The following is a 16507-nucleotide window of genomic DNA, read 5'->3' on the forward strand; positions in this document are numbered from 1 at the left end:
CAGGCTTACATCCTTTTAATGTGAGTCCATTTAGATCACACATATATATGCAACATTCACCCACACAGAGCTAGACGTGTATTTCTCTTTTTTTTAATTGTACTTTAAGTTCTAGGGTACGTGTGCACAACGTGCAGGTTTGTTACATATGTATACATGTGCCACGTTGGTGTGCTGCACCCATTAACTGGTCATTTACATTAGGTATATCTCCTAGTGCTATCCCTCCCCGCTCCGCTCACCCCATGACAGGCCCTGGTGTGTGATGTTCCCCTTCCTGTGTCCAAGTGTTCTCATTGTTCAATTCCCACCTATGAGTGAGAACATGCGGTGTTTGGTTTTCTGTCCTTGTGATAGTTTGCTGAGAATGATGATTTCCAGCTTCATCCATGTCCCTACAAAGGATGTGAACTCATCATTTATTATGGCTGCATAATATTCAATGATGTATATGTGCCACATTTTCTTAATCCATTCTATCATTGTTGGACATTTGGGTTGGTTCCAAGTCTTTGCTATTGTGAATAGTGCCTCAATAAACATACGTGTGCATGTGTCTTTATAGCAGCATGATTTATAATCCTTTGGGTATATACCCAGTAATGGGATGGCTGGATGAAATGGTATTTCTAGTTCTAGATCCTTGAGGAAGCACCACACTGTTTTCCACAATGGTTGAACTAGTTTACAGTTCCACCAACAGTGTAAAAGTGTTCCTATTTCTCCACATCCTCTCCAACACCTGTTGTTTCCTGACTTTTTAATGAATGCCATTCTAACAGGTGTGAGATGGTATCTCATTGTGGTTTTGATTTGCATTTCTCTGATGGCCAGTGATGATGAGCATTTTTTCATGTGTCTGTTGGATGCATAAATGTCTCCTTTTAAGAAGTGTCTCTTCATATCCTTCACCCACTTTTTGATGGGGTTGTTTATTTTTTTTCTTGTATATTTGTTTGAGTTCTTTGTAGATTCTGGATATCAGCCCTTTGTCAGATGAGTAGATTGCAAAAATTTTCTCCCATTCTGTAGGTTGCCTGTTCACTCTGATGATAGTTTCTTTTGCTGTGCAGAAGCTCTTTAGTTTAATTAGATCCCATTTGTCAACTTTGGCTTTTGTTGCCATTGCTTTTGGTGTTTTAGACATGAAGTCCTTGCCCATGCCTATGTCCTGAATGGTATTGCCTAGGTTTTCTTCTAGGGTTTCTATGGTTTTAGGTCTAACATTTAAGTCTTTAATCATCTTGAAATAATTTTTGTATCAGGTGTAAGGAAGGGATCCAGTTTCAGCTTTCTACATATGGCTAGCCAGTTTTCCCAGCACCATTTATTAAATAGGGAATCTTTCCCCATTTCTTGTTTTTGTCAGGTTTGTCAAAGATCAGATGGTTGTAGATGTGTGGTATTATTTCTGAGGGCTCTGTTCTGTTCCATTGGTCTATATCTCTGTTTTGGTACCAGTACCATGCTGTTTTGGTTACTGTAGCCTTGTAGTATAGTTTGAAGTCAGGTAGCATGATGCCTCCAGCTTTGTTCTTTTGGCTTAGGATTGACTTGGCAATGTGAGCTCTTTTTTGGTTCCATATGAATTTTGAAGTATTTTTTTTCCAATTATTTAAAGAAAGTCATTGGTAGCTTGATGGGGATGGCATTGAATCTATAAATTACCTTGGGCAGTGTGACCATTTTCACAATATTGATTCTTCCTATCCATGAGCACGGAATGTTCTTCCATTTCTTTGTGTCCTCTTTTATTTCGTTGAGCAGTGGTTTGTGGTTCTCCTTGAAGAGGTCCTTCACATCCCTTCTAAGTTGGATTCCTAGGTATTTTATTCTCTTTGAAGCAGTTGTGAATGGGAGTTCACTCATGATTTGTCTCTCTGTTTGTCTGTTATTGGTGTATAAGATGCTTGTGATTTTTGCACGTTGATTTTGTATCCTGAGACTTTGCTGAAGTTGATTATCAGTTTAAGGAGATATTGGGCTGAGAAAATGGGGTTTTCTAAATATACAATCATGTCATCTGCAAACAGGGACAATTTGACTTCCTCTTTTCCTAGTTGAATACCCTTTATTTCTTTCTCCTGCCTGATTGCCCTGGCCAGAACTTCCAACTGTATGTTGAATAGGAGTGGTGAGAGAGGGCATCCCTGTCTTGTGCCAGTTTTCAAAGGGAATGCTTCCAGTTTTTGCCCATTCAGCATGATATTGGCTGTGGGTTTGTCATAAATAGCTCTTATTATTTTGAGATCTGTCCCATCAATACCTAATTTATTGAAAGTTTTTAACATGAAGGGCTGTTGAATTTTGTCAAAGGCCTTTTCTGCATCTGTTGAGATAATCATGTGGTTTTTGTTGTTGGTTCTGTTTATATGCTGGATTACATTTATTGATTTGCATATGGTGAAGCAGTCTTGCATCCCAGGGATGAAGCCCACTTGATCATGGTGGATAAGCTTTTTGATGTGCTGCTGGATTTGGTTTGCCAGTATTTTATTGAGGATTTTTGCATCGATGTTCATCAGGGATATTGGTCTAAAATTCTCTTTTTCTCTTGTGTCTCTGCCTGGCTTTGGTATCAGGATGATGCTGGCCTCATAAAATGAATTAGGGAGGATTCCCTCTTTCTCTATTCATCAGAATAGTTTTAGAAGGAATGGTATCATCTCCTCCTTGTACCTCTGGTAGAATTTGGCTGTGAATCCGTCTGGTCCTGGACTTTTTTTGGTTGGTAGGCTATTAATTATTGCCTCAATTTCAGAGCCTGTTATTGGTCTATTCAGGGATTCAACTTCTTCCTGGATTAGTCTTAGGAGGGTGTATGTGTGCAGGAATTTATCCATTTCTTCTAGATTTTCTAGTTTATTTGCGTAGAGGTGTTTATAGTATTCTCTGATGGTAGTTTGTATTTCTGTGGGATCAGTGGTGATATCCCCTTTATCATTTTTCATTGCATCTATTTGATTCTTCTCTCTTTTCTTCTTTATTAGTCTTGCTAGTGGTCTATCAATTTTGTTGATCTTTTCAAAAAACCAGCTCCTGGATTCATTGATTTTTTGAAGGTTTTTTTGTGTCTCTGTCTCCTTCATTTCTGCTCTGATCTTAGTTATTTCTTGCCTTCTGCTAGCTTTTGAATGTGTTTGCTCTTGCTTCTCTAGTTCTTTTAATTGTGATGTTAGGGTGTCAATTTTAGATCTTTCCTGCTTTCTCTTGTGGGCATTTAGTGCTATAAATTTCCCTCTACACATTACTTTAAATGTGTCCCAGAGATTCTGGTATGTTGTGTCTTTGTTCTCATTGGTTTCAAAGAGCATCTTCATTTCTGCCTTCATTTCTTTATGTACCCAGTAGTCATTCAGGAGCAGGTTGTTCAGTTTCCATGTAGTTGAGCAGTTTTGAGTGCGTTTCTTAATCCTGAGTTCTAGTTTGATTGCACTGTGGTCTGAGAGACAGTTTGTTGTGAGTTCTGTTCTTTTACATTTGCTGAGGATTCTTTACTTCCAACTATGTGGTCAATTTTGAAATAAGTGTGATATGGTGCTGAGAAGAATGTATATGCTGCTGATTTGGGGTGGAGAGTTCTGTAGATGTCTAATAGGTCTGCTTGGTGCAGAGCTGAGTTCAAGTCCTGGTTATCCTTGTTAACTTTCTGTCTCGTTGATCTGTCTAATGTTGACAGTGGGGTGTTAAAATCTGCCATTATTATTGTGTGGGAGTCAAAGTCTCTTTGTAAGTCTCTAAGGGCTTGCTTTATGAATCTGGGTGCTCCTGTATTGGGTGCATATATATTTAGGATAGTTAACTCTTCTTGTTGAAATGATCCCTTTACCATTATGTAATGACCTTGTTTGTCTCTTTTGATCTTTGTTGGTTTAAAGTCTGTTTTAAAGAGACTAGGATCACAACCCCTGACTTTTTTTGTTTTCCACTTGCTTGGTAGATCTTCCTCCATCCCTTTATTTCGAGCCTATATGTGTCTCTGCACATGAGATGGGTCTCCTGAATACAGCACGCTGATGGGTCTTGACTCTTTATCCAATTTTCCAGTCTGTATCTTTCAACTGGAGCATTTAGCCCATTTACATTTAAGGTTAATATTGTTATGTGTGAATTTGATCCTGTCATTATGATATTAGCTGGTTATTTTGCTCGTTAGTTGATGCAGTTTCTTCCTAGCATCGATGGCCTTTACAATTTGGCATGTTTTTGCAGTGGCTGGTACCGGTTGTTCCTTTTCTTGTCCAGTGCTTCCTTCGGGAGCTCTTGTATGGCAGACCTGGTGGTGACAAAATCTCTCAGCATTTGCTTGTCTGTAAAGGATTTTATTTCTCCTTCACTTATGAAGCTTAATTTGGCTGGATATGAAATTCTGGGTTGAAAATTATTTTCTTTAAGAATGTTGAATATTGTCCCCCACTCTCTTCTGGCTTAAAGAGTTTCTGCTGAGAGATCAGCTGTTAGTCTGATGGGCTTCCTTTTGTGGGTAATCCGACCTTTCTCTCTGGCTGCCCTTAACATTTTTTCCTTCATTTCAACTTTGGTGAATCTGACAATTATGTGTCTTGGAGTTGCTCTTCTCGAGGAGTATCTTTGTGGCATTCTCTGTATTTCCTGAATTTGAATGTTGGCCTGCCTTGATAGGTTGGGGAAGTTCTCCTGGATAATATCCTGCAGAGTGTTTTCCAGCTTGGTTCCATTCTCCCTGTCACTTTCAGGTACACCAATCAGACGTAGATTTGGTCTTTTCACATAGTCCCATATTTCTGGAAGGCTTTGTTCATTTCTTTTTACTTTTTTTCTCTAAACTTCTCTTCTCACTTCATTTCATTCATTTGATCTTCAATCACTGATACTCTTCCTTCCAGCTGATCAAATCAGCTACTGAAGCTTGTGCATGCATCATGTAGTTCTTGTGCCATGGTTTTCAACTACATCACATCCTTTAAGGACTTCTCTACACTTTTTATTCTAGTTAGCCATTCGTCTAATCTTTTTTCAAGGTTTTTAGCTTCTTTGTGATGGGTTCGAACTTCCTCCTTTAGCTTGGAGAAGTTTGATCATCTGAGCCTTCTCTCAACTCATCAAAGTCATTCTCCATCCAGTTTTGTTCCATTGCTGGCAAGGATCTGCGTTCCTTTGGAGGGGGGAGGCACTCTGATTTTTAGAGTTTTCAGCTTTTCTGCTCTGTTTTTTCCCCATCTTTGTGGTTTTATCTACCTTTGGTCTTTGATGACGGTGACATGCAGATGGGGTTTTAGTATGGATGTCCTTTCTGTTCGTTAGTTTTCCTTCTAACAGTTAGGACCCTCAGCTACAGGTCTGTTGGAGTTTGCTGGAGATCCACTCCAGACGCTGTTTGCCTGGGTATCACCAGCGGAGGCTGCAGAACAGCGAATATTGGTGAACAGCAAATGTTTCTGCCTGACCGTTCCTCTGGAAGCTTCATCTCACAGGGGTACCCGGCCATGTGAGTTGTCAGTCTGCACCTACTGGGGGGTGCCTCCCAGTTAGGCTACTCAGGGGTCAGGGACCCACTTGAGGAGGCAGTCTGTCCTTTCTCGGATCTCAAGTTGCAAGCGGGGTGAACCACTACTCTCTTCAAAGCTGTCAGTCAGGGACATTTAAGTCTGCAGAGGTTTCTGCTGTCTTTTGTTTGGCTATGCCCTGCCCCCAGAGGTGGAGTCTACAGAGGCAGGCAGGCCTCCTTGAGCTGCGGTGGGCTCCACCAAGTTCAATTCAAGCTTCCCATCCGCTTTGTTTACCTAGTCAAGCCTCAGCAATGGTGGGCACCCCTCCCCCAGCCTCTCTGCCACCTTGCTGTTTGATCTCAGACTGCTGTGCTAGCAATGAGCTAGGCTCTGTGGGCATGCAACAATCTGAGCCAGGCATGGGATATAATCTCCTGGTGTGCCATTTGCTAAGACCATTGGAAAAGCACTGTATTAGGATGGGAGTGACCCAATTTTCCAGGTGCTGTCTGTCACCCCTTCCCTTTGCTAGGAAAGGGAATTCCCTGACCCCTTGCACTTCCCAGGTGAGGTGATGCCTTGCCCTGCTTCAACTCACGCTTGGTGAGCTGCACCCACTGTCCTGCACTGACTGTCCGACAAGCCCCAGTGAGTTGAACCCGGTACCTCAGTTGGAAATGCAGAAATCACCTGTCTTCTGTATCACTCATGCTGGTAGCTGTAGACTGGAGCTGTTCCTATTCAGCCATCTTGGAACCGCCCCCCCAGATGTGTATTTCTCACAAAAGCATTCATTCAGCCAATACCTGTTTTTGAGCATCTCCAGTGCATTGAAAATTATGGTAGGTATGGGGAGAGACACTACTGCATGAGGCAGATACTATCCCAAACCTCATGGCAATTCAGTCTTGCGAAGAAGACAGACAACAAACAAATACAACATACAGAAAAGATAATTATAAATCATGGTGCAAGATGATATTTAAAAAATGCAAAGTTTTCTATGATAGAAAATATGAGGAGAACTAGTTTAGATATAACTAATAAAGACAGCCACTTATACTGATACATGCATTCTAATGATACTTTAAGAGATGAGTGGGGAAAAGTGACCTGCCTAAGAACATGTGCAAAAGTCTAGGGGTGGTTTTAGGAACTAAATGAAGAGAGTGGCTGACACATGGTTATTGGGGAAGTGGGGAAAATGGGAATGAGATTGGAGAAATAAACTTTTATTCTGTTGGATGTGAGGGACAGGGTGTACTTGGTAGGCATCAATGACTGTATAGTTCATTCTAAATACAATGGAGAACTATTGAAAAATTTAACACAAAAAATAAAATGATCAAATTTATGTTTTAAAAATATCAATGTGATCCCTTATATGGAAATTTTTATTTTTTTTTTTGAGATGGAGACTCACTCTGTCATCCAGGCTGGAGTGCAGTGGCACAATCTCGGCTCACTGCAAGCTCCACCTCCCGGGTTCATGCCATTCTCCTGCCTCAGCCTCCTCAGTAGCTGGGGCTACAGGCACCCGCCACTATGCCTGGCTAATTTTTTGTATTTTTTAGTAGAGACAGGATTTCACCGTGTTAGCCAGGATGGTCCTGATCTCCTGACCTCGTGATCTGCCTGCCTCAGCCTCCCAAAGTCCTTATACGGAAATTGATTGAATTATTTAGGAAGTGGCAAAAGTGAAAATGGGTCAGAAATGATGGTTTACAATAGAATGCAGAAATAGAAATGGACAGGAATCTACAGATTTGAAATATATTTTGAAGGTATAAATTAATAAGAATTGTGGATTAAATTGGAGGACAAGCATGAGTATGGTGTGGAATAATTGAGGGTAAATCTCAAGTTTCTAGCTTAGCAAATTGCAAAAACAGTCTTGTCATTATTGGAAATTAATCGACTTGGGAGGAAAATGTCTGGATATAGAAATAAAAAGTTTGATTCTGGATATGTTATATTTAAAACACCAAAGTAGAATTGTTTGATTAATCAGAGGACATATGGATATTAAATCCAAATGAGAGTATGGGATTACAAATATAAAATGGGATTTGAAGCTATGGATCAAAACATTATGCTGTATACCATAAATATATACAATTTTTAACTGCCAGTTAAAAATTAATAAATGAAGCCATGAAAATGAATGTGATCACCAACATAGATAGAACTTAAATTAGATAACTAGATCTTTGGATGAAAATTTTCCTGTCAAAAGCCATTGATAAGACTCCATTGAATTTGGTAAAGGAAAATCACGGATGATCTTGGCAATAGCAGTTATTGTGGACAAATGATGGCAGAAGCTGGTTATAAATGGGCTGAGTTGTGAAAGGGAAGTCAATGATGCTTTCTTCTGGATAGATTCCCATAACTGGGATGAGACACTTCCAATTCCATTTAAAAATTTTTGTCCTTAGCTCTTCTTTGATCCGCAAGTTGAGCCCCATTTCTCCTGCCTGAATGTGCTGTACTCATTGATATGCTACCCATGAAAAAGTATTTCCAGGTAAGAAGGCTTTGGAGGTGATCCCTTCCCACTTACCACCCATGCGCATGATGAATACAATCACTGTGACCTGCTGCCGGGGCCTGTGTTTACCACTGAAGATATCATGCTTCCAAAAACATCCCTCATGCTTTTGCAATCACCTTAACATCAACTGGCAGCTGAAAGTCACCAGACATTAATTGCTCACCAAAGCCTGTCAATTTCACTTGGAAAATATACTGTTCTTCTGTCTGATTACTTTCATGCCCAATTTTACTACCCTAGCCCAAGACTTTATCTCTTATATGAAACAACCACTTTACATGCCCTTCATCTTTTTAACAATTTTAGGAAGTCAATACTGTTTTTCTCTTTTATTTTATTGATGAGGAAATTAAATCACAGAGAGATTAAGTAACTTGCCTAAAGTCATTTTCAGCACATGATAATGCTGGGATTCAAACCTAGGCAGGTTGCCTCTAGAGGCCGAGTCTTAACCACTGTCCTACATTACATTCTATAAGAGACAGACTAGTTTAAAAAATGTGAAGGAAACTATGATGTGTCATTTAACAGGTTTGTAAAATTCGCTCTCTAAATGCCAATAAATCTCTAAATGTATTAAAGGAAAAAAATGAAACAAAAGCGAACAAACCTACTAGTCACTACAGATTACTTTTTTATGTTTGCTAAACAAAGTTTAGGGATCCTCTCTCAATGTCATTCTTGTAAACAATAATCTGTTTAATTTTTTTATTTTTAAACTTTATTTTCATATATTCATGTAGCTCATTAGAAAATTAATATAATCTTTCAAATTACAATTCATATATTCCAGATGAGCATTAGCAAGCAGGAAACAATGAGTTGCGAATGAATAAAACCTTTATTTAACTTTGTTAAGGACATTCAGAAGACTTGAATAGACCAAAAAACAAATGTACTGTTATTTACCAGCTTTTGCAATATTTAAACTGTGTTTGTTTAAATAGATCTGCTTTTTGTTTTTAGCTTCCGGTCAGGCTTTACAACTGCTTGTTAAAAGCCCGTGACCTCTGGATAAGAGTGAAATACCAAGCACTAAGGGAGGCTAGAGCCATTCTTCAATCAGGAACAAATGCATTCTAAACAAGGTGATTGGCAAAAATCTTCATTTTCTTTTCCTTCCATTGACCTCCTAGAAATGAAAAGCCCTCCTGAAAACAGGTGGTCCAGAAAATCTATAGATAATTAAGCAAAATGAGGCTTGTTGACAGCTTGGCATGAAATGTGAATATTTAATTACATTTTAATGACAGCACATTATTTTACATAACTATGATAGGTGATATAACATGAGATTTGAGACTGCCAATACAAATTTTAAATAGTTTTTCTCAACATTTATAAAAAATCATGTAATAAAAAGCATATTTAAACATTAAATGGCTTGTAGAGGTCCCTTTTTTATACATAGTGCCTATTTTCATTTTTGTTATCTCTCACAGCACTTCTGTAATTATTTAAAATGTCATTGTCTTGTTTCAAGGATAGCTAAATAGGAAAAGGTGTTCTGGCTAAAATTATGTCCCAAATCAGTTTGATTAGGATCCTCATTAACATTAGGCAGGCATTACTTTTGAGCAAAACACAAATTAAAAAGACTTATACAAGTCTTTTTAAAAACTTCATTTGACTTTATTGGTTAAGGAGTTTTAATTCTGTGGTAACTTTAACAAGGATTATGATTCTTGTTTGTGCTTTAATATAAATGTAATGCTTTAAACTGCTGGTAAACTTAATTCCTTCAAATTCTATCTAAATTATCTTAAGCAACTTAAATAGACGAACTTGAATCCAAGCTTTTCCCAATGTGATTTCAACCATCTGTGAAAATATTGTACCGTATAATATCCCTCATTTATCCTAATTAAATCTTATGTAATAAATCATCTCCTTGTCCAATAAAAGTGCTATGATTTTTTTTCAAACAAGAGTCACAAATTCGAAGGTATAGAAATGAATGTAACTTAATAGGTTATATTTTAACATTTATAATAATTTTAAACATGAAGAAATAAAATGTATGTTCTTTTTTAGAGTAAATTATAAGTAAAAGTATTTTATTTCAAGGGAAGGGGGGAAGGGTAAAGCAGCTTAAATTTAGGAAACACAGGTCTATTTGGTGCATAGCAAAATAGATTGCATTTATTTTTCTTTCTGGTTCTAACAATATACAAATTGCCACAAATCAGCTAATTATTATTCCAAAAGAGAGAACATCCAACTGGCATATGTTCCAAATGGAGCTCAGGCATTTTCCTCTAGACCTGATGGCTCCCCATTTCCATCAGTGCTCTCCATCTCTGTAAGTCATACTACCATCTTGCATTTGTTCACGCTGAAATCTGACTAATCCATATCCCTCCCCTCAAATCCTATCTCCTACCTAATCCCATTTATTCTATCCTGTAAATATATCTTAATTATATCAACTCTCCTCTATATCCATTAGCCCCTGTTAAGTCTAAACATTACAATTTATCTTCCCCGATATACTTTCCCTTAGTCCCAAGCCATTATCCATCCTATAGGCAGCATGGTTTTTTAAACTGTTATGCTGATGAGCCAGTTTGTAAAACATTCTGGCTTTTAAAAAAATTAAGCTAAGCAAATGTCTCCATGACAGATAAATTCCAATTCTAGATATTTATCTGGGAAAAATAAAAACATGTGCTTCTTTTTCACTAAAAGCTTTGTATAAGAATGTTAGTGATAGCTTTATTCATAATCGCCAAAACTGAAAACATCCCAGGTTTCAATCAACAGAAGAATGGACAGACAAACTATGATCTATTTATACAACGAGATAGTACTCAGCAATTTAAACAGAACTAATGATATACCCAACATGTTCGTATCTCAGAAATATAATGTTAACCTAAAGAAGACTTACACAAAAGAACATATGCTCTTTGACTTGATTTATCTGAAATTCTAGAATAGGCAAAACCAACCTATGGTTATATAAGAAAAATCAGAACCCTGGTTGTTAATGTAATGTGAAGGGGAAAGTGGGACCAGAAATTGACTGCAAAAGAGCAGAAGGAGATTTTAGAGGGGATGATGAAAATGTTCTATATCTTTGTAGAGATTCAGCATTGCACAGGTCAGGTTTATGCATTTATCAGTGCTCATAGAAAGATTATGAATGATGTATTTCATTCTATGTAAAATTCACTTCAAAAAATATAAGTAATCATAAACAAATATTGAGCTCTAATGAATTATATGCATGTTGAAATGCTTAGATATGAAATGCACTGATATCTAAAGAAAACTCTGAAATGCATTAGACATATACGATTAAACTGTTATGTATCCTGATTGTGGTGATATTGCCATGACTCTGCTTTGTCAGAGCATGGAACTATATACTAGAAAGGGCAAGTTTTATTGTATGTAAGTTACATCTCATATTAAAACCCTCTTAAAATAAGTTAGATTAATAGGTGGCTAATTGAATGGATAAATGAATGGGCTACATCAATGGCAGATTGGATAAAGAAAATGTGTTACATATGCAACAAGAAATACAATGCAGCCATAAAAAAAGAATGAGGTCACGTCCTTTCCAAGAGCATGGATGGAGCTGGAGGTCATTATCTTTGGCAAACTAACACAAGAACAGAAAACCAAATACCACATGTTCTCACTTGTAAGTGGGAGCTAAATGATGAGGACTCATGGACACAAACAGGGGAAAAGAAGACACTGGGGCATACTTTCAGGTGGAGGGTAGGAGGAGGGTGAAGATAGAAAAACTACCTGTTAGTTACTATGCTTATTACCTGAGTGACAAAATAACTACTGGGTACTAGGCTTAGTACTTGGGTGATGAAATAATCTGTACAACAAACCCCCGTGACATGAGTTTACCTATGTGACAAACCTGCACAAGTACCTCTGAACCTAAAATAAAAGTTGAAAAGAAAATGAATGGGCTAAAACAAATATAGCAAAATATGTACAACTGTAACATCAAGTTGGTAGGTATGTGGAAGTTTACAATAATTTCAAATAGTGGTTTGAAAACATTTTCATAACAAAATGTGGGGGGAAATATGTAAATCTGATCAGGTTGCATTATTCTCACACTTAAATTTTTATAATGACGTCGCATTATTTGGGAGGTTTACTCTAGAATTACTAACATGGTATAAATGTTTTAATTGACTGCCTCTCCCTGAGCCTTAAATCTCACAGAAGGTCATTTCCTCGTCATACACCATAATCTAATCATGCTCTTCGTTGTCAATTTTAAAAAGATGCAGATCCTTCTTCCCAGGGCCTTGTAATTAAATAATGGTGTAAATAATTGTGCAATTATCTGTCTTCTCCAGTAGTTTTTAAAAACCATTAGATCATGGTCCACTAATATATCCCTAGTCCATAACCCCAGACCTAGCCCTTGGCCTAATGTAAGTACTCAATAAATACATTTCAAAATATGAAAACTGACTGAAGAGATAGTACCCTTGACTTCATATCAAAGTGAATTATGGATTACTTGTGTAGCCTAACCATTATTTTATTTAGTATCCCCTTATCTCTTAGACGTGTACTGATTTTGAGCAATGATAATGAAATAATAGAAAATAAGTTCTTTAAAAACTATCGTTTTTGGCCTAGCACAGTGGCTTACGCCTGTAATCCCAGTACTTTGGGAGGCAGAGGCAGGTGGATCACTTGAGGTCAGGAGTTCGAGACCAGCTTGGCCATCATGGTGAATTCCTGTCTCTACTAAAAATACAAAAATTAGCTGGGCATGGTGGCACATGCTTGTAATCCCAGCTACTCAGGTGGCAGAAGCAGGAAAATCTCTTGAATCTGGGGGGCAGAGGTTTCAGTGAGCCGAGATCGCACCGTTGCACTCCAGCCTGGGTGACAGAAAGAGACTCCATCTCAAAAAAAAAAAACTATCGTATTTGAAAATTATCAATTGGCAAAGTATCCCAGGTATTTTATTTTGTTATAGCCAGATAAATAATACTGAGAAACATTTCACCTGATTATACATTTTTATTTTAATATTTTAAGGAATATATATAAATGTGTCTACTCAATTAAACATTATTTTTCATTTTATGTAAATTTAATTGCTTATAATATATCATAAGAAAGCTATAAATTTGCATTTTGACATGAAATAAAAAATAAGTTATCCTTCCAGAGTACAGCAGGGGGAACTCAAGAGGATATCTACTTACTGGTATAACTACAAAGCTTTTCTAATTGCAGTATAGTGTTGGAGCAACTTGCAGGATAATGGTTAATTTAAATTGATGTACAGACATATCCCAGGGCTTCTGGTATTGTTGTAGTAATATCAGAAATTCAGCTAAGGAAATGAAGAAGAGTAAAGTCTCCATTGTCCAATTTTCAGATGTATGCTGAAGAAATTAAGTCGGTGGGCATTTCTCTTTTTAACATAATAATATCAAGAAAGCAAAAGAAAAGATACTGAGAAAAGATAGACTAAGAATAAAGAATTGTGGAGTAGTCTTAGAACTGAAATGTGTGAGAGGATAAAGACAGTTTTGAACACTGCTAAAAGAAATCAGAGATGATGCAAACAAATGGAAAAACACTCCATGCTCATGGATTGGAAGAATCAATATTATTAAAATGTTCACATTGCCCAAAGCAATTTACAGATTCAATGCTATTCCCATCAAATTATCAACATCACTTTTCACAGAATTAGAAAAAAACAATTTTAAAATTCATATGGAATCAAAACAGAGCCCAAATAGCCAAAGTAATCCTAGGCAAAAAGAACAAAGCTGATCGAGACCATCCTGGCCAACATGGTGAAGCCTCGTCTCTACTAAAAATACAAAAATTAGCTGGGCATGGTGGCACGCAGCTGTAGTCCCAGTACTCGGAAGGCTGAGGCAGAAGAGTCGTCTGAACCCAGGAGGCGGAGGTTGCAAAGAGCCAAGATCATGCCACTGCCCACTGCACTCCAGCCTGGCAACAGAGTGAGACTCCATTTCAAAAGAAAAAAAAAAAAAAAACTACAGGTATCACATCATTACATCATTGCACTTCAAACTACACTACAAGGATACAGTAACCACAATAACATGGTACTGGTAAAAAATTAGACCAATACACCAATGGTACAGAATAGGGAACCCAGAAATAAAGCTGCATACCTACAACAAACTGACCTTTGACAAAGTCCACAAAAATAAGCTATGGGGAAAGGACTCCCTATTCAATAAATGGTGCTGGGAAAATTGGCTAACCATATGCAAAAGAATGAACTGGACCCTTACCTATTACCATATACTAAATTTAACTCAAATAAATTAAAGACTTAAATGTAAGACCTCAAACTATAAACATCCTGAAAGACAATCTAGGAAATATGCTTCTGGACATCAGCTTGACAAAGAATTTATGACTAAGTTCTCAAAAGCAATTGCAACAAAAACAAAAATTGACAAGTGGACCCTAATGAAACTAAACTAACGAGCTTCTGCACAGCAAAAGAAACTTATCGCTAGAGTAAACAGACAAACTACAGAATGGGAGAGAATATTTGCAAAGTAAGCATCCAACAAAAGACTAATATCCAGAATTTATAAGGAATGTAAAAAAATTAACAAGAAAAAAAAAAACCCATTAAATAGTGGGCAATGGACATGAACAGACACTTCTCAAAAGAAGACATACAAGCAGCCAGCAAACATATGAAATGTTAAATATCACTAATCATCAGAGAAATGCATATCAAAACCACAATGAGATACCATGTCTCACCAGTCAGAATAGTTGTTATTTTTTTAAAAATCAAAAAATAAAAGATGTTGGTGAGGCTGCAGACAAAAAGGAACACTTATACACTTTTGGTGGGAATGCAAATTAGTTCAGTCACTGTGGAAAGCAGTTTGGAGATGTCTCAAAGAACTAAAAGTAGAACTACCATTCAACCCAGCAATACCATTACTGGGCATATACCCAGAGGAATATAAATCATTCTGCCATAAAGACACATGCACATATGTGTTCATCACAGCACTATTCACAATAGCAAAGACATGGAATCAACCTAGGTGCCCATCAACAGCGGATTAGATAAAGAAAATGTGGTACGTATACACCATTGGAATGCTATACAGCCAAAAATATGAAAAAATCGTATCTTTTGCAACAACATGCATGCAGTTGGAGGCCATTATCCTAAGCAAATTAACACAAACAGAAAAGCAAATATCACATGTTCTCACTTATAAGTGGGAGCTAAATCTTGGGTGCACATGAACGTAAGGACAGGAACAACAGACACTAGGGACTCCAAAAGGAGGGAGGGTGGGAAGGGGACAAGGGCTGAAAAACTTCCTATTGGGTACTATGTTCACTATTTAGGTGACACAATCAGTAGAAACCCAAACTTTGCATCATGCAACATATTCTTATAACAAATCTGCACATGTACCACCGAATCTAAAATAAAAATTTAAAAAAAAAACAGTTTGAGATTCTGCAATTACATGTGAGGAGATTTTTCTAACCTAGAAAATATGAAGGGTTAATGTTTTTGTAACATGTATAAAAATGTTCAAAGTTTTATAAAATCTTAAATGTTGGGTTAGAGGTAAATATCAGAAAAAAGCTTATTATTTCATTTAGGAAGCCCCCTCAAAGACCTCACAGTTGAAAGTATTAAAAATTATGCACAATTTAATTCACATTACAATTGCCCATAATAACTACATATTTTTTCACTGGGTGAAAATTAGGTGCAAGAAGAACTTTTAAATTGAACATTTAGCTATGCAGGTTAAGTCCCAGCAAATTTCAGCTGGAACTGCATGACTGAGCTGAGTTTAACCTCATGATTTGAAATGAAAGAAACTGGGAATTATATTTGCAAGATTTAAGAATAGCATATAAGATATTTGCCCAGTGTAATTTTCTTTTATTCCTCTGTTTTGCAGGATTATGAGAAAAAGCAATAAAGGAAGACATCAATTCTCAAGCGAATAATTTCTTCTATAGAGCCTGCTAAACAACACCAACGGCAAGTGATGAGGAGTAAATTTACTTCTTTCTTCTCAAAACAACAAAAATATCTTCATTAGAAACAAGGCTCACGTTTTCATACAAATCTTTATATTCAATATGCTGCATTTTCAGGAGAAACAAATAGAAAAATAAGGGTTTACCTAGAATGTGTTATGTAATGTTCTACAAAAGCCTCACAGGGTAGTATCATAATGGTGATTTTGTTGCAGTCTGTATTTTTTTGGAAAGTTCTTTGCCCAGAAAATCAATTGTGTAGTTCCTCAGATGTGATCAGACTCAGGGATACTAACTTACTCTAAATTAAATTAATGAGAGACTAGAATGTAAAACAGAATACCAATTTATTCATTTACAATAAGAATTATGACTTTATTCGGACCAGAGGGCACTCACTGCCATGATGAATATATGCTTTTTCTAAGGCAGAACTACATGGAAACTAAAATACAATATT

At 37.0% G+C, this 16507-nt stretch overlaps 1 long non-coding RNA gene across 1 annotated transcript; it reads left to right on the top strand.

Annotated features, from left to right (window-relative positions):
* The first annotated feature begins 7665 nt into the window (after positions 1 to 7665).
* Positions 7666 to 16120, top strand: LOC105375372 (uncharacterized). The gene is made up of 3 exons (XR_927708.2): positions 7666 to 7995; positions 8989 to 9110; positions 15966 to 16120. It is a non-coding gene; the product is annotated as an uncharacterized LOC105375372 (long non-coding RNA).
* The last annotated feature ends 387 nt before the right edge of the window (positions 16121 to 16507 follow it).

The sequence above is a fragment of the Homo sapiens genome, chromosome 7 (assembly GCF_000001405.40).
Source record: "Homo sapiens chromosome 7, GRCh38.p14 Primary Assembly".
In the NCBI taxonomy this organism is placed as follows: Eukaryota; Metazoa; Chordata; class Mammalia; order Primates; family Hominidae; genus Homo; species Homo sapiens.